The sequence below is a fragment of the Homo sapiens genome, chromosome 7 (genome assembly GCF_000001405.40).
Source record: "Homo sapiens chromosome 7, GRCh38.p14 Primary Assembly".
Taxonomy (NCBI): Eukaryota; Metazoa; Chordata; class Mammalia; order Primates; family Hominidae; genus Homo; species Homo sapiens.
The window spans coordinates 20,034,489-20,054,421 of NC_000007.14; the positions used below are offsets into that span (position 1 = coordinate 20,034,489).

The 19,933-nt window shown below is 36.6% G+C and overlaps 1 long non-coding RNA gene across 1 annotated transcript in view; it reads right to left on the minus strand.

Moving 5' to 3' along the window:
- MACC1-OT1 (MACC1 3' UTR overlapping transcript 1) overlaps nt 1–19,933 on the minus strand; it is a 221,446-nt gene that overhangs the window by 115,508 nt on the left and 86,005 nt on the right. The window contains exon 2 of the long non-coding RNA NR_110114.1: nt 11,015–11,073. This is a non-coding gene — a long non-coding RNA (MACC1 3' UTR overlapping transcript 1). The remainder of the gene's footprint in view (nt 1–11,014; nt 11,074–19,933) is intronic.

The following is a 19,933-nucleotide window of genomic DNA, read 5'->3' on the forward strand; positions in this document are numbered from 1 at the left end:
ATATAATGTGCTAGTTTATCGATTTCAAGAAAGTTTCATTTTTTAAATTAACCACTGTGAAACACTAAACTAAACTAAACTAAACTTCCTAAACTAAAAGTTAGGAAGCCAATCTGATTCACTGTGTGTAGTGTTTTAGAATTTGTGCAAATCATTTCACAAAACCTTTCCTCATTTGATTTTCATAAAAACATTATAAGGGTACGCAGGCATTTTTCCACCTAAAGTTAGTAAACTAAGGATCCAAGTGATGAATTCACTTGCATAGGAACAAACACCAAGTTATAAGATTAGTAATTCAAGTCTCCTAAATTAAAAAAAAAAAAAAATGGATGCTCTTTTGCAGCACACAAGCTGTCTTCCCACTTAGCTGGGTCATCTTGAGCAGATCACATAACCTTTCTGTATTTCAAGGAGGAAAATTATGCCTGGCTAAATACTTTACTAAAGTATTAAGAGGATCAATGAAGACAATATATATGAAAGAGTTTGAAAGGCTTAAAATTATAATTATCATTATTATTCAGGAAATAATTGACGACATAGTTCCTCCCAGACAGTTTCTCCCCTACAATTATATGGGTCACCTGGTCATGTCTTCTGGTCAGGAAGGTTTGGGTGGAGTTGGCTTTATTCCCATAACAAGGATCTCCACTGGGACAAATCTCCACTGGGACAACTAGGATGGCTGGGGCTCCTCTCTAGAATGTCTGTCATCAGCAAGGCCAGCAGTGTTGTTAATATGGTGGAGCAAATGTTCCCTGGAGCAAGAAAGTCCAAGCCCCAATGATGCAGGATTTTTCTCAGCCCCTTCACCAGACTCATAGCAGGGTTGCTGAGTCTACTCAGCCCACTGTGCTCAGCCCCTTGCAGGAAGGAGCACATGAGAGAGTGTGAGATCTGGCCAGCCACTCTGGGTACCGACACCCAAGCAAGCTTTGTGCAGGGCCCATGGCCAGACCAGGCGTGTCACCTTGAGGGGAGCACATCGGTGCCCAGGTGAGGGTGCCATGACCCTGAAGCCCAGAGGGAGTGTTATAGTGCTCCTTTAGTTCTGCCATCCACAAATGGCAGTGCATTAGCAGCTCAGTTGGCCCCTTGCCTCATTGTGTGGGGTGACTGCCCTCCGCTGGCAAGGGCAAAGGGCCAGTGAGACAGATTTTCTGGGTACCTGCACTTGGTGGGTCACAGGCTCTTGTCCAGAGTCCAAAAAGAATGAGGTCACGTGGACTACTGAAGCATGGTGAAGGTAGAGAATGTTACTGAGTGATGAAAACATCTCTCAGCTGAGAGGAAAGTTGGAGAGGGGATGGGAAGGGCAGGTCATCTTCCCCTAAGTCAGGTTGTCTCTTGCCTGAAGTCAAGTCATCTCCTCCTCTACTGACTGAGTCTGGGGTCTTTATAGGAACAGGATGGGGAGTGCGTGCTGATTGGTTTGTGAGTATACAAAAACAGTTTAAAGAGAAGACACCACTCAAACATGGGCATAACAGTGTAGAAAACCAATTAGAAAAGGGTAGGTATACGTAAAATAGGTGAAGGGTGGGGACTAATCAGAGAAAAGTGGGCCAAACAGGAAGACAAGTTCTCATCCAGTCCGAGGATTTAACTTGTAGCTTGGCTTTCAGGCTTTAAACTGTCTTCATCTTAGAGGCGGGGTTTCACCAGGTACCTGTCCCATCTGCCTAGGCATTTGGCTGCCTCCTGTCACTGTCATCAAGTCACAAGCACTTCCCAAGCTTCTGCTTGTATTACTTTACCAAACTGGCCAAAGTTAGTCACATGGCCAAGTTCAGAACCAAGTAAAAGAGGAGACTACACTAAGGGATTGGGATACCCAGTTTGACATAAGGTTTTTGACTTTGCTTGTGATGTTTTTCCATAAAAAATTTTATGTTTAATACAGCATAATGTATCAATCTTTTTATTTATTGCATATAGAGCTTGATTCCAAAGTTTCCATCTCTCCTCATAACCATTAAAAAATAATTCATCCCTTTTATTTCTATTGTTCATATGTCTTGCTTGCTCTTTCTTTCTTTCTTCTTTTCTCTCTATTTAATTTGAAGTCTGTTGTGGTATATGTTGAGATCTAGACCCACTTTTATTATTTTCCCAAATGTCAGTTAAGTTTTTCCAATATAATTTATTTTTTAAAAAACTGTATTTTCCCCAGAGCTTTCAGGTATGAACATCATCGTATACTTAATTTTAGATGTAACTGAATCTATTTCTCAACTTTCAATTATCTTCTAATAATTTGTCCATCAACCACTAAGTCAATATATTAGATTGATGCAAAAGTAATTGTGGCTTTTGTCATTAAAAGTTTTGCACATAGAAGTTTGCATTTCTGTACCAACCTAATATTAATGAGCCAATATTTTAGTAATAAAGGCCTTATAATATATTGAATATCTCTCAGGACTAGATATTAAAGACCCTTATTGCTGTCCTTTCTCATGGTTTCTATCACTGCAATCTTGTTCTCATGATTTTCTTAACTATTCTTCCATGCTAATTTTTCCATGTATACTTTAGAATCAATATGAATAGCTCCAGAAAATAAATTGTTACTATTTGACACTTTTATGATGTTGACACATCATATTCAAGAACAAAGAATGATGTCTTTCCATTAGTTCAAATCTACTCTTGTGTCTTTCAGATGTGTTTTAAGGATTTCTTCATATAGATTTTGCAAATCTCTTAAGGGTCTCTCTAATTTATATTTTTATTGCTATGGCAAATTATGATTTCTATCATATTATTCAACGAATTTTTGTATGTTAATTTCATATTACGTTAGCTTAATAGACTCTTCCATTATTTTTGTTAGGTTTAATGCATATTATGTTAGATTTTTCAGGTATAGTATCATATCATTTGCAAAAAGAGGTAGTTTTCTTGTTTTGATAAAAAAGATAATTTTCTTTTTTTGTAGTAGAGAGAATATTCCCCACCCCCATAAAATATTCACATCCTAATTTCCACAGTCTATGTATGTTATCTTACATGGGAAAAGGAATTTTGCAGTTGTGATTAAGTTAGTGATCTTGAGATGGGAAGATTACCCTGGATTATATTGGTGAATCTAGTGTAATCACAAGGGTTCTTAAAGGAGAGAAAGGCAGCAGGGTCAGAGTCAGAGAGGAAATGTAACAACGGAAACAGAGGTTGAGGTGATACACTTTGAAGATTAAGGAAAGGACCGCAAACCAGAGAATATTGGCAGCCTTTAGAAGCTAAAAATGACAGGGAAATCAATATTCCTTTCGAGCCTCCAACAACTTGATTTTAGCCTAGTGTGACCTGTCAGATTTCTGATATTGAAACATGAGTTAATAAATAGGTGTTGTTTTAAGCCACAGAATTTGTAGTACTTTGTTACAGCAGCAATAAGAAACAAATTCCCTTCTTCTTTTCCAATTCCTACGTATCTAACTTCTTTCATTTGTATAATCACATTGGATAATACCTCTAATAAACTGTTATGAAGATACTGGAAATCTTACCTTGTTCCTGAACTACTTAGGGGAGATGCCTCTTTTCCATATATCAGCCATGGAGTAAGCAATGTAATATTTTATATGTATATTTTTAAAATTAGTATTTATTATTAGGGTCATTATATTTTTAGAATCAAAGTGACTAATTCCAGAAAGAAAATTTATCTACTGACGCCCTTATGATGTTGAATTATCTCAACACGGCGTAAGCGCTTGCCCTACAGGAACAGCCTATATTGAATAATGCCTGGCTGACCTAGTCTGTTTCCCTTGGGGAGTTTGAATTCAAAATGCAAGGAAAGTCTACACACAATGAAAGAGACAAAGAGTAAAGAAATTCATACAATAGATGTTAAAAGCACAGGCCATGAAGTGTTAGGTGCTGTACACAAGGGAAGGTCTTGAAGAGACTGAGATTATGCAAGGAGTAAAGATGTCCTCTGCTCACCTCTTCATAACATTCACTGATGTGCCTTGAAAATGTAATAATTCATTATCCTAAGTGTTCTAATCATTTCTGGATCTGCTACCTGGAATTTGAACAGTGGATAATTATTATGCCAACAAATGAATGTGTCATATAAAATAGCATTCACATAACTAAAATTTATTTTAAAAATTTTAAAAATTATGCAAGGAAGAATGAGGTTGAAGGGATCGCCAGATGAGGTATTTCTAAGCATGGAGATCTCTAAATGTATCTGCTATCTTCTCCATACCCAAAAGAGAGAAATATGATCTTCGACCATAGAGGAAGAGTCTACATTGCTCTAGATTTAAGCAAAATGTTGCATAATTTGCATTTCAAAACAGATGGTAGAAGGGCTGTTGGGGTATGATTGAACATGAGTCCCATTTTGAAGCAAAATGGCAGAATACCAGTGGTTAATGATTCATCCAAAATCTGGGAAAGCTCTATTTTCCTTTCCTTCTCTTTTCTCAGTCTGCTTCTTTGAATTATGCATTTACTGCATTTCTCACACTCTCACATCTCGCTTCTAAACAGTTCAAAGTGGCATAAACCAAGACATATTCTTAATGTTTTTGTTGTTATGTAGAGTATAAAGTAAAAATAAGTACATGCTTAAAGACATTTACAATTCTGGCAGGTTTTTTGTTTGTTTGTTTGTTCATTTGTTTTTTGATATGGTGTCTCGGTCTGTTGCCTAGGCTTGAGTGCAGTGGTGCAATCTCGGCTCAAGGCAGCCTCTGCTTCCCGGGCTCAAGCAATTCTCCCACCTCAGCCTCCTGAGTAGCTGGGATTACAGGTGCACCATCATGCCCGGCTAATTTTCATATTTTTAGTAGAGACAGGGTTTCACCATGTTGGCCAAGCTGGTCCTGAACTCCTGACCTCAGGTGATCCACCCTCCTCGGCCTCCCAAAGTGCTGGGATTACAGACGTGAGCCACTGCACCTGGCCTAAGTCTGGCAGTTTTTGAGGTTGTGTTTAGAAGGAGTGAGGGTGAGCAGTGGCTATACAGGAATGGGTTACCCATCTTTATGGTTATTTCATGATGATCTGCTAAACAAGGGGTGGATCATTCATGCCTCCCCTGTTTAGACCATATAGGGTAACTTCCTGACGTTGCCATGGCATTTTTAAACTGTCATGGCACTGGTAGGAGTGTAGCAGTGGGGACGACCAGGGGTCACTCTCGTCACCATTTTGGTTTTGGTGGGTTTTGGCCAGCTCCTTTATTGCAACCGGTTTTATCAGCAAGGTCTTTATGATCTGTATTTTGTGCTGACCTCCTATCTCATCCGGTGACTTAGAATGCCAACACTGTCTGGGAATGCAGCCCAGTAGGTTTCAGCCTCATTTTACCCAGCTCCTATTCAGGATGGGGTTTCTGGTTCACACACCTCTGACAGTGGGAAGGCACCTACCATTATCCTCAGGTAGCACCCACCGTAAAATGTCTCTATTAAGCTGATTCTCTGTCTTGTATTAGGAGTGCTATACTGGAAATGCCACATAATATCCCTTAATTGTAGTTTTCTTATCTGGGCAATATTAACATTGTTAATTAGGTTATATTATGTCATGTTTTCTAAACTGAATATTTACAGAATTATAATAATATTAATTTATGTGTATATATACACATTTATATGTACTAACATATATTATTTAAAAATTTTATAATGCATATATAACCATTTATATCATGTATGTTATTTAAATACATATAATATTATTTAAACACATAGAATATAATATGTCAGGCACTTTTGAAATGTCTTAAAATATAACTCATTTATTATGAATTAATTTAGGATTTTTCCAAATATGAGTCACTGAAAAATGTAACTAAACACACTGTCATTTTATACACATTTAACCTTCCAAGGGAGCATCTTGTGTGCTGTATTGGGTGTGTTGGTCATTGAAGGAGGCAATGGTAATGGTATACAGCATCTTTCATGCAGTTTCCTCACATAGCCTTCCCCCAACACCTGAGGCAGGCTAAGAGATTGGGATCAAACATATTCCAAAACTAATTATTTTGAAAAGCAGTCAGCAGCTTTCATTTAGACTTGCATTAATTCTGTTTCTCTAGTTATGCATGCCAAGTTTCAAATTTTTAAAACGTTTTTCTTTTAGCTCCTAAAGTAGAAAATTTAGGAAAGTGTGATTTATTTTATTTTTTATAACTCAAAAATATGTACATCCACCTGTCTAAGACGCAACATAACAATTGATCTCAAATTAAGCTTAGGCAGTTTGATTCCTAAAGGGATCTTAGGGGAAAGGAAATAATCACAAGGAAATGGAGATCACAGATGGTCAGAAAATAGAAATGAATATTTGTTCAACACATTCCTTTTTGTAGCCTTACATCATTAAGAGGCTAATATCACTGAATTATTGAATTCATCTTACATTAATCATTATGAAGAAAGAGGAGAAGGAAAAGAAAAATCTCTTTTAGTAGCAAAAAATGTATAGAGAGATCCCAGAGAGCTTAAATTTCCATGGCGTTGGAAGGAGACAGAGCTGGTGAGAAGTCCCAAGTCATACCCAAGAACAGAGTTTCTGAAGAGGAAACTCCAACTCAGGGTACATAATTCCAGGGAAGGTTCCTGCAACTTCAAAATAGTTACATGTATGGGAACTAAATGCAGTGGCTCAAGAGGAGGCAGTTTAGTAATACTATGTAACAAAGAGAAAGTTAAGCACTCAAGAAATTTTACTGAAACTAGAGGATGCTGAGCTGCTATTAGGCATCTTATAAGCAAAGAACAGTAAGACCGATAGGGAGCCCCAAACTGAAGGAAGTCAAGAACTAGGACCCCTTTGTCAAGTTTTGGTCCAATAATCCTTCCTGCATAATCAAGCTATAATTTAGGATGTGGAAATTATCCCAGGAAACCCTGAATTATCATTATCGCTCTTGACATTAAAAACTGTTGCCTTTCTATTTTGAAATAGACTTTCTTTTTGCTTGTTTAGATAAGTTTTAGCCTCATAGCAAGCATTCAATAAAAGCAGAAGGGTCTGGATTATGTGAGTTATTCAGAATGATTTTTAATAATTTATTTTTTTTAGTACTTTACTGAAATATGAGGGTAAATGTCCAAGAACCTTGATAAAAGATGAGTTTTTCAAGGTGTTTTATTAAAAGACTACAACAAATAGAAAAGTGCTGCCCTGTTATAGAAATCATTGTCTGAAGGTTTTCCAAAATAAGGAACTCCCCAAAATCTGTGCACTCGGCTGAATTAATGTGAATCAAATGGCAAAAAAAAACAGACAAGGAGAGGAAGAAAGGCTGAATAAGCACACAGTTTAATGTCCAGATGGCAGATCAATTTCCTGAGACCGTAAGGATAAAAAAAAGGAAATACCATTATTAATCTTATTCTGTGTGCCAGACACTCTATTAGGCTTTTTAATATGCTACAATTTAATAATTTATAAACAAATATTTCTTTTGAATGGCATATATTTGCTTTTTAGAGTAGGATTTATTTTTTAGAACAGGTTTAGATTTAAAGAAAACTTCAGATAGCACAGTTTCCATATATCCTGCACCCAGCCCAATGGGCTTATACTGAAAAGCAGCAGTTTCCTTTCTCAACTTCTCTTCAAATTCCTCTTTGCAGAGGCAGCAAATATGTAACAATCTTAGCTATTTTTTGTACTACCTTATTATTTTCAAATTCATACCTATATATTGTGTTTTAATTTTCTATTTTTAAATTTTTTTTTTGTCTAGGATGGAATATATGGATTTTTCTATATTATCATCCCCTTTAGAAAATATTTAGCTCTGATACACTTTCCCTGGCAGCATCCGCCAAATACACACATTTGTAAATCTCAACATTCAAGTTTACTTTTATTATTGTAACTCTGCAATGTTCATGGGTGAACCATGTGCTAGACAATGATTCAATTTAATTCTTTAAAAGCTTTTTTGGTGAGGTTAAGAAATAACTGCTTTTGTTTTGTCTTTTAGAGGGAAAAAGTATCTATTTTTTTCAGATTAAAAAAGATATTTCAGATTATTTTCAGATTAAATATTTAATTTAAATATTAAATATATTTTCAGATTAAAAAAGGCTACAGAATTCTTTGCATATGCATGTGCATGATGAGAAACACTAAAGTCTTCAACTGTAAGAGAAATGATTCCACATAGAAGTAGAGAACTGTAGAAAAGAATGAAGAGTGCCAAAAAGGGTAAATATAGGCAGATTTAAACAAATGTTGGCTGTTTCAAATGCCAATAATAATAATAGTACCCCACGGAGTGTATAGGATATGCAGAAAGAAAATATGTAAACAAGAATTATACAAAGGGTTAAGTGAGGAGTGAGGAGTAAGCACATGGAGTTGAACTTGTTAGGGTCCTTAAATGTTTAAGAAGTGGTAAAAGCACTAGTTTAAGGTTGAATGTAGTAAGTCACAGGTGTATACCTAGGGTTACCACGGAATGAATAATACAATGTATATGATATATGATATAAAAAGCTAATAGAAGCAATAAAATAATAAATCATTAATTAAAAGATTAATAAAACCAATAACTTGATTTATTAAAAGAATCCAAGCAATGAAAAATAAAAGGAAAAGAATATATGAGATTATTAGAAAGCAAATAGCTTAGTGGTTTATTTAAACTCAACAGTATCAGTAAATAATAATTATATATGGTATATTTTATACTATGGTATATATACTATATATATATAAACTTAAAAAATAAATTGGGCTTTATAAATATTAGAATGATTTAAAGGCAAGAGCTATTATGAAAGAGAAGCTGGAAGCTTTAAAAATCATTACATACATGCACAAAAGAGTTGTATTAAAAAATGTAAAGCAAAAAGCAGAATAAATTTGGTATAGAAATACATAAATCCGTAATTATAGTTGAAAACTGTAACTCAGCAATTTCATAAGCAGACCAAATAATCGGTAAGTTTATAGAAGATTTAAACAATGGGACGAATTTATCTGACCCAATTTTCGTGTATTGACACTACATAAACAACTACAGATTGCAAGATCCATCCCACAGTACATGAAACAATCTTAAATATATTGTGGCAGCCATGGAGGGATACCACTCAGATCTCTTTTCAAGGAAGAATTTGCCATTTTGCTGCAACAAGAGCAGTTAACTACTAGTCTCCAGCTACCAACCCCTTCAGGATCAGTCTCAGCTTTCTAGCTGAAGCCAGGCTATTCCCAGGCAGCCCCCAGTTAATGACTGATCATAGATGGGCATAGGACCTGGCTGTGTGTGCCCATGAAACTTCTCTAATAGCCAATCTTTGTTCTGAAACTCTACTTGGGTGTGTTGGAGATTCACCAGATCTTCATTGTAATCTGAAGCTCTTTCTCCACAATCCTGCTTTCTTCCTCCTTTCCTATTACAGAGGTTGGATCAGATCTGTGTTTTAAATGAAGACATCCACCCAATTGTACGTTTTCTTCCTTTTATTATTCATGGACATTACCAGTCTGTTCTATTTTTCTTATACTTCAAACTATCTCAGCATATGCTTTATGGAGAATTCAATTATGCGTCTCATACTAGTAACAAGCAACTACATAATTTGTAAATCCCAGCGCAAAATAAGAATGCATGTCTCCCTGTTCAAAAGTATTAAGCATTTTAATAAAGCAAGAAAATCAGAGCATTAAAGTAAGCATAGGGCCCTTCTAAGCATAGGGCCTGATGTGACCTACACAGGCCACATGCTCTGGTATCAGACGTGGTGTAAGAAAACAGATGAAAAAAAAAAAAACTGTTTTGGCATTGGATTGCTCACTGCCTACCTGGTAATAAGCAATCCATCCTATGTGGTATATGGAGCACAGCACAGTCTCTGGTACAGTGTGATAGCCTGATGCTAAAACTGATGCTAATTTGAAAGAATGTTCTGGTGGAAGGAATTACCCTGAACTATGTAATGATTCAAATAAATCAGGATTTTAAAAGTAAGGGGAGGCTGAGCACAATGGCACATGCCTTGTAATCCCAGCACTTTGGGAGGCCAAGGCAGGTGGATCACTTGAGCCCAGGAATTCGAGACCAGACTGGGCAACATGGCAAAACCCTGTCTCTACAAAAAATACAAAAATTAGCCGGATATGGCCATGCATGCCTGTGATCACAGTTACTTGGGAGGTTGAGGTGTGAGGATCACCTGAACCTAGGTGGTTGAGGCTGCAGTGAGTAGTGATCTCACCACTGCACTCCAGCCTGGGTGACAGAGTGAGACCCTGTCTCAAAAAAAATTAGTAATAATATAAAATAAAATAGAAGTAAGGGTATGGGGGGGCAATGTATATAAGATAATAGTGTTGATTATTATTAAATGACATTGATGTCCTACGTAGGGATAATGAAAAGCAGAGTGAAGTTACTAAAACATTAAAAGTAAAGTTTGATGAGCAGAGGGCCATTTTGGTAGCATATAAAAGGCTTTATCTTTTATATTCAGAGAAATAAAAATGTGAAAACCAAACCCAGCTTTTAATAGAATTATCAAGTTACAAAAAGGCAAGTCAGGCTGGGCACAGTGCTTCACGCCTGTAATCCCAGCACTTTGGAAGGCCGAGGCGGGCGGATCACGAGGTCAGGAAATCGAGACCAACCTGGATAACACGGTGAAACCGTCTCTACTAAAAATGCAAAAAATTAGCCTGGCGTGGTGGCACGTGCCTGTAGTCCCAGCTACTCGGGAGGCTGAGGCAGGAGAATGGCGTGAACCCGGGAGGAGGAGCTTGCAGTGAGCCGAGATGGCGCCACTGCACCCCAGCCCGGGCGACAGAGCGAGACTCCGTCTCAAAAAAACAAAAACCAAACAAACAAAAAAAAAACCAAAGGGCAAGTCAGGGCTCTCACTGGGAAAACCTGAACCCTGAAACATCTGATGAATGTATCTGAACATGTGATGCCCATTCAGTAGTAGGCCCCTCTCTATTAAATTTAGCACTCAACATACAAAACAGCAAGTAGCTATGCATTCTCTGAATTGCTTACCTTGAGTTGGTTTCTGTTGAACTCATCAAATCAGAAAGTTGTGCAGGTCAAGAAGCGATCTATATAAAATGCAAATGGTACATATGAGATAAAGCCTAAGCACGAAAGCTGCATAAATTGGTAGCCCAAACCTCAGTGTTACCCCCTACATTTCATTACTGCCCTCCTCTCTCTCAGGTTACACCTGTGGCCACATGGAGGAGTCCTAAATGACCAACTGAAGGAGAAGCAAAAAACCGAAGCATGGCTTATAATGGGCCTGCTCAGTGTTTAGGCGCCAGCCAAAAATGGGCAGCAGCTACCTTGCAGCCACACTCCAGGGTGAACTTGCAAGACTTCAACAAATGGTACATCTGGTCAGGTACTTTGTGTAGAAGGAAAAATGATCTGAGGTGAGCTGAAATTATTTTGATTTTTATCTGACAGAGGACAGGAGCCACATTTTAATCATTTCCACATCCCTACCACCAAAGAAGGACTCCACAAATGTCTGTATTTGAATAGAGTGCCTATTTATGATTATCTCATTGAATAGAAATATATTTGCCATTTTAACAGAGAGTAATGTAATGATGTCTTCTTACTTCCTACCTCCAAGTTTTTATAATCTTGGTAATAAAGGCAAAGGCATAAGATGACTTGCCTGAAGACAAATGTAGTTGTAATAGCATTTCACTTAGGTTTGAGTGAGTATGTCTGTCCTAAGAGTTTTTGTGAACTATAAACCTCTTTAGAAGAAGAGACTTTCAATATAGAATTTTTCTTATCCCCCCTCCCCCCAAAAAAAAGCATAAAAATGAAACATAAATAAAATGCTCTATCCATGAGGGACTGAACTTAGAATGTAGATCCTCTGATTCAAGGTTGGATGCTAGACTACCCCCACTGGGCTTTGGAGAAATCCAAGTGCAGTAACAGAAAATAGCTCTTGACAGCTTCTCAGTACCTTTGACTGCTGGGTGCAAAGAACCCAGCTCGTCATTATGCTTTCCAGAGAGGGAGCTGGAGTTGGAGAGCATAGTCTCCACTTTCCTGTTGGTAATTTCTATTCCTATGGAGCAAAGGAATGACAGTGACCTATAAGGTCCCTGGTGGTGTGAGACTAGGGCCAGAAAGTCAGTGAGAAAAAGAACACTGAGTTAGTTTGATTCTATATGGAAGGGATGAAAAATGTAAGAAAGTCAAACATTCTGAATCTTATACCACAGCATGCATTTAAAATAAAATAGTAATGAACATGTATTGTTTGAAAGTTTAGAGTAGTTTCGAACATATCAATTTATTTGATATAACCTTCAAGACATTTCTGTGTGGCAAGTATTGCCATTTCTAATTCTATAAGTGGACTCAGAGGAGCTAATAACTTTCTCAATATCATCCAGCAATTGAGTAGTGAAGAAAGCAAGAATAGTAGTTTCCATCAAGATCTTAAATTTACATCTTTTCTTTCCTTTTCTTCTGGCAATGGGTAAACGTAAACAGGGGAGTACTGGCAGTAATTGTGGTTTTAGAACAATGTGGGTGACTTCGTGCACAAGACAAGATGGACATCACCATTAAAAATAAATACAGTAGAAAATATAATCATTCCTTTGGGCCATTTATACTTAAATGAAAGAGTATAGAAAATTTAGAGTCTTGCATGTGAGCCCAGACACTAAATTATTCCAATATGTACATATTTGGGAACATCTACATTACTCATTGCTCTACTGGCTTCCAAGTGGAGAAATTTTATCCAAAAGTTGCTTAGTAATTACTTTATCTTTGAGAATTGGCATTCCTTGATTGTCTGATATGCTTTGTTAATAATGAAAATACTTCAAAAAAGAGAAAAATTGTGAAAGCATGTGACACTGTGTGAAAGCAAAGATTTGTTGCAGAGGTATCGAACCCAATAATTCCTACACAGGCACTGAAAGTATGCCACCAAGCAGGAGACGATCCAAACTGCCAGCAAAGCAACCAAAACAATACATATAGGTCAATCTTCAATAAACACTTACTTATGAAATGAATGAATATTTACATCACAGAGGCATCTTATCCTAAACTAAGATTTTAGGATTAAATACTCTAATAATATCTGTTGTTTTTGTAGGGCAAAATTGCTTGGATATATCTGTGCCATACATACCTTTAATTATTGAACCATTTCTGTCTCCTATTTTCAAACTTTGTAAATTTCTGCTCATCCCGATCTTTGTTGCATATTTATTTTTCTAGTAGATAGCTTTTTTTTTCTCTAAAAAATTATAATAGATACTGTTTTCCAAGCACTGGATATTATGCTGAGTAATTTTAGACAATTTCTTATTTAATTATCCTACTAATCCAGCAAGTTATTATTCTCATTTTACAAACAAGGACATTGAATCTCAAAGAAATTAAGTAACTTACTCCATGAAATGGAGTAGTAAGCAACAGACCTAGCATTTCAATATAGAATTAAAGTTTTGAGGGTGAAACAGTATGTTTTGTATATCTTCCATATCAGTGTGTGCATTAGAATCACCTGAAAAACTTAACAAACTTTCCCACTTCATAACCTCTAGAGATTCTGATTCAGTTGGTCTAGGAAGGACCATACAAATCTGCATTTCTAACAATTCCCTTGGCGTGATTCTTATGCAACCAGTTAAAAGTAGTGCTGTATATCACTATATCAATGCCTTCCATATAGTAAGATATATTCACATAAATGAATGAATTTCAGATATCGAGCTGGTGTTTTTTGTGTGTTTTGTAAGATTTGAAGATATTTTTGATGGTGGAACACAACACAGTGACACTCAAATAGATGAAAGGCAGAACACTTCATTATTTAAAGCTCAGGAATGCTTTGTCTATTTGAGGTCTTTGTTTCCATAACATTTTTAGTATTTTTTTCTATTTATATGGAGAACGTAATTGTTATTTTAAGAGAGATTATATTAAATCTATAGATAGCTGTTATATGGTCATTTTCACAGTATTAATTATTTCAGTCCATAAATATGGGATGCCTTTTCATTGTTTCCATTCTCTTCAATTTCTTTGATCAGTATTTTATAGTTTTCCTTAGAGATCTTTCACTTCCTTGGTTAAATTTATCCCAACATGTTTTATTTATTTGTAGCTATCATAAATTGAATTGCTGTCTTGATTTCTTTTTCTACTAGTTTATTGTTGGTGTATAGAAACACGACTGATTTTTGCATGTTGATTTTGTATTCCACAACTTTACTGAACTTGTTTATAGGTTCAAAAAGGTTTTTTTGGGTGGAGCTCTTAGAGTTTTCAGTATATAAGATAATGTCTACATGGAGACAGTTTAACTTCCTCTTTTTCAATTTGGAAGTCCTTTCTTTATTTCTATCTAATTGCTCTGGCTGGATCTTCCAGAACTATGTGAATAAAAGCAAGGAAAGTTGGCATCCTTGTCTTGTTCTAGATGTTAGAGAAGAAGCTTCAGGTCTTCCCCATTCAGTATGTTAGCTGTGGGTTTGTCATATAAACCTTTGTTACGTTGAGGTATGTTTATTACCTCAACCTAATATGTTGTGAGTTTTTATTACGAAAGGATGTCTTCTTTCTCCATGCTACATTTTGAATTTGCTACTGTCTGTCCTGGAGTTAACTTCAGCACTTTACCTTGTTTTGCACATTAAAAAAAAATCCTGAACACACTCAGACACACTGGTGTAAACATACAATAGCACTTATAGTATGCATTGTGTGTGGAGCATACTTTGATAAAAATTTGGAGTTTAAATTTAAAAGTTTAAATTGTTGCAGTAATAACAACTTAGTATAATCATTACACATAGCTGTTTCTAAACTTCTTGGACAATTTCACAACGTTGCCCAGTAACTCACTTTTTCTTTTAACTTTCTGCTCTCTGTGTCTGTGAATTTCTAATATGAAAGAGCTTTGGTATTTCTTCTGTTTCCTGGACTTCCTTTAAACCCTCTTCTCATGGTCTCATATTCCACTCCACGTAATTTATCTGCGTATTTTCCTAAAGAGAGAATGTTTCCACTGGAGCCAGCTATTAATATTAATATTTATTTTCACTGTTACTGAATACATTTGCCTTCTCATGGGAAATCTTCATTTCACTGAAAGATGTCATATAAGGTCTATAATTCAAATTATCCTCCTAAGTAGCTTCATTTTGTATTATTTCCATAATAACTGTAAAGTAATTACCTTGATTTCTACTCAGTAGCTTCTGGGAATAAAATAGGGCAACCAGAGGATGATGACTGCTCTTTCTGCTTTCACCACTAAATTCCATGTACACTGGAGGACATTTAGCTAAAAACAGATTTCACTGAATTTCTGTTCCACAATTTACAGGTCCAGAGGTAAATAGTGACCAAAAAATAAAACTACGCAATTAGAAAATTAGTATGAAATAATTGCTAAAGTAAGGGCCGGGCGCAGTGGCTCACGCCTGTAATCCCAGCACTCTGGGAGGCGGAGGCAGGTGGATCACCTGAGGTCAGGAGTTCAAGACCAGCCTGACCAACATGGAGAAACCCCGTCTCTACTAAAAATACAAAAAATTAGCTGAGCGTGGTGGTGGGTGCCTGTAATCCCAGCTACTCGGGAGGCTGAGGCAGGAGAATCACTTGAACCCGGGAGGTGGAGGTTGCGGTGAGCCGAGATCACACCACTGCACTACAGCCTGGGTAACAAGAGTGAAACTCTGTCTCAAAAATAAATAAATAAATAAATAAAATAAAATAAAATAAAAAATTGCTAAAGTAAGGAGGGGCAAAAAATTAAGGAACATACAATGTTTCATTTTGCTCAAGTGAAAAAAAAATAGAATGTTTCTTAACCTTCTTCTGTTCTCAACTTCACAATTTTGACTGTGCCAGGGCTCAGTTAGCATATTTAGTCTACTCCCTCTGTCTTCACTCCTTAGGTGATTCCATCCAGTCCCATATGCTGTCCAGCCTCATTCCCCCAGTGAAGCCTGCCCAATTTCCCTTGTGTTTCCCTTAGATGCCACATAAGCACTTCAAGCTACCATGGTCAAGGCAGGATTCTTGATTTTTTCTTCTAGCTCCCCAAATTTTTTTCAAATTAATCAGTGTCCCTACCATTTACCAGATAAATATTTGATTTATTGCTTTCACTTGCATTCTTCCAATCCATTAGCAAATCCTAATGGCTTTGCCTTCAAAATACACAGTGAATTTTACCATGTCTCATTGTTTCTGCCAATATTACAGGCTTCTGTCATCTCTTGTATCAACTACTGCTAAAAGTAGCTAATGCTTCTGCTTGCCTTTTTCATCATGCCTTCTACAGTCTGCCTCTCAGCTGTCAGAGAGAAAGTCTTTTAAAGTGTAAGTCAGATCAAGGCATTTTCTATTCAAAATCCTCTAATAGCTCCTTATCACATTTTGAAAAATGTAGTGAGGACTAAGCTCTGATATTTATCTTGCCCAGATTCCTATCTATGTGATCTAGGGAGTCATGCCCTACAAACCATAAATTCTCATCATATGGGTTTCATTTGACCCTATATAGCATGACTTACTTTTCAATCTGACTCTGGCATAACATTATGAGACAAGAAAAAGAATATTTAACCCCAAATTATATTTCCTTACCATACCTTGAAATTGCCTTGCAAAGTCTCTTGTGGGAAAAATACACACCCTATAGGGAATCCCCTTCCCCCTTTGTTTTCCTTCCTTTCTTTCCAGATCCAGGAGATAATCAACTGAGAGCCAGGTGCACTTTTAGGTCTGATAAAGAAACATTTTACAACCTACTCTTTCTCTGATGTCTGCTGAGAGATTCCTCTGCACAATAAAACTTGGTCGGCACAATCCTGTATCTTAACCTGAACATTCCTTTCTATTGATCACAGTTCTTCAGATAATACTCAACCAATTGTCAACCAGAAAATGTTTAAATTTACCTATAGCCTGGAAGCCCCCCACCCCCACCCACGTTGAGTTGTCCCTCCTTTCTGAACCAAACGAATGTATTTCTTAATTGTATTTGATTGACGTCTTATGACTCCCTAAAAATATACAAAACCAAGCTGTACCCCGACCACCTTGGGCACATGTTCTCAGGACCTCCTGAGGGCTGTGTCATGGTCCATGGTCACTCATATTTGACTCAGAATAAATCTCTCTTAAAATATTTTATAGAGTTTGACTTGTTTTGTTGACAGTAGAAATACGTTGTTTTGGCTTCTACCACTACATAATCTAGCCCCTTGATTCCCTCTTTGACTACATCTTTGATGGTTTCATCCCTCTCATCCTCAGCTACAGAATCCCTGGGATTCTTTTAAATCCTTGAATATTCCAAGTTGTTCCTCCCTAAGAGGCTGTATAATTCTTACACCCGTGACTTGCAATGAACTTCCCATACCTTTTCTATTTCTTCCACTAAATTGCCTATACGTCATGATGGCATGGACTTTGTGTATCTTTTTACATGATAAGTTCAGTGCTTGAAAAAATGCCTGGTACACATGAGATGCTGAATAAACATTTGTAAAATGACTGCATGGGCAAATGAATCTATTTCTAAAATCTGAAGTAAGTAGAGAAGATTATATACATTAAGCGATAAATGTGCAGATAATAACTAATTCTTAAAACAACAATTCTAGGTTGACAGTTTCTATAATATAATCATAATAAGCAATATTTACTGAGCATTTAATGTTCCTCCCACATTGAGCTAAATACCTTTGGTCATCATCTCATTTATATATAACAATAACAACGTGAAGTAGTACTCTTAGTTCTCCTATATTTCAAATGAATACCGTGAGGTTCATAGAGGTTAAGTGACTCAATTCCCATTGTCACACAAATTTTAAACAATGAAGTTGGTACTGGAACTTAGTCAAATTCCAAAGCTTATGCTTGCACTAACTATATCACACAAAGGTAACATGGTAATTATTTTTAAAGCTAGACTATCTGAACTGATGTCTCTATTACTTAAAGGCACTGACAATCTAATAATTCTGTAAAAGAATCTGCTGCTGATAAATGTATGAATATACCAAAAGCAGCATGAAGAAGAGTAATGAGAGTGCACATGGTACTAGATGAAGGTTCAGAATAACTGGGTTCTAGTGCTTTGTTGGCTGCTCTCTAGTTTAAGAAACTGGACTTCAGTCTCCTTTTCCATAAAAGACAGAAATTCAACTAAAATCAAAGGCTTGAAACTAGATTGTTCTTGAGCGAAAATCAGTTCACAGACATGTTTTCTTAGGCTCTTGCTGTCCTTTTTATAATTTTAAATTATTATTATTTTTATTGTTTAAAATTGACAGATAAAATTGTATGTATTTACGATATACAACATGATGTTTTGACATATATATGCACTGTGGAATGACTAAATCTAGCTAATTAACATATATATTACTTCACATAGTTATTTTTGGGGTGAGAATGAAACCGCCTTTGCAAAATTATAACTGTGGAAATTATGACAGTGAAAGAAATCAGACCTAACTGACTCCATCTTGCTTCTAACCATTAAGCTGCCCTTGTTCATTCCTGGGCATAGGCCGAACTAACACTGGGAAGGAATTCAGTTCATAGTTTGACTCTGAAAAAAAATTGATAACATCCCTTTCCCAAAAAGACCCCCTTCTTGCCTGGGAACCAATCTGCCTTTGCAGGACTAACAAATTACCTACCAGATTAGAAATTACAGTTTAGGGGTCTGCAGCCTCCGGCTCCAAGAGTCTGAACTTCCCCAATTTGCTCCTGGGGATAACATAACTATGGTAAAACCTAAGATCAGTGCTTAAGATATTTTGCAGGCCCTGCACTCAGTGGATCAACTGACACCACCCAGACTAGTAACGTGGCTCAATCAGTTCTGCCATCCCACCCAGGAACAGAAGACAGCAAGAAAAACTCACTTCGACTCCCTGTGATTCCATCTCCAACCTGACCAATCAGCACTCCCCACTTGCCAAGCCCCTACCTGCCAGATTATCTTTAAAAACTCTGATCCCCGAATTCCCAGGGGAGACTGATTTGAGTAATAATAAAACTCCTGGTCTCCTACACAGCTGTCTCTGCGTGAATTACTCTTTCTCCATTGCAATTCCCTTGTCTTGATAAATCAGTTCTGTCTAGGCAGCAGGCAAGGTGAACCCATTGGGTGGTTACAAGAACACTTTACATCCACTATCTTAGCATTTTTCAAGAATACAATATATTTATTAACTATAGTCACCATGTTGTACAATAGATCTTTAGAACTTATTCCTCCTATCTAACTGAAATTTTGTATCCTTGACAAATATCTCCCCAACCTCCCCACATCAACTTTGAAAAGAATGTCTGCATCCCTTTTGGTAGGGAATTTAGTCCACTCACATCCTGTCCCAAGGAGTTCCTATTGTCTTTCATCCATTCCATTTAAGTCAACAACATTTAAAACCTTGGTCTCTCAGGGCATTTGCTTTTGTGATATCTGAGGTAAATTTCACGGTGTTCCATCCCTTTTGAAGTCAAAGCATACGTACTGTTAACGGAAAATTCAATGAGGAGCTACCAATTTCTAAACAAAATTTTAAAAGCAACTTTAATAGTAGAATCATCATTTTTAATTGTCAATTGAAGCATATCTCATTAGATATGTTTATTAGATAACATATGGATAACATTTATCCATATCCTGCACAGCTGTAAAAGAACACAAGTACACTAACTATACACTTACAATTTATTTAAATATGATTGTCACACATCACTTTAGTTTTGACTTGACTGATATGTGAAGATATATAATTTGTTTCATTGCTGTCATTTTGAAATCTTTTGCATTCTAAGGAATTTGGACAAGAAATGAGTGTTTCATATTAACAGCCAAGAGAATGTCTATAGTAGCAAAAATCCTCATGTAAAGTGGAAAATCCAGTCATG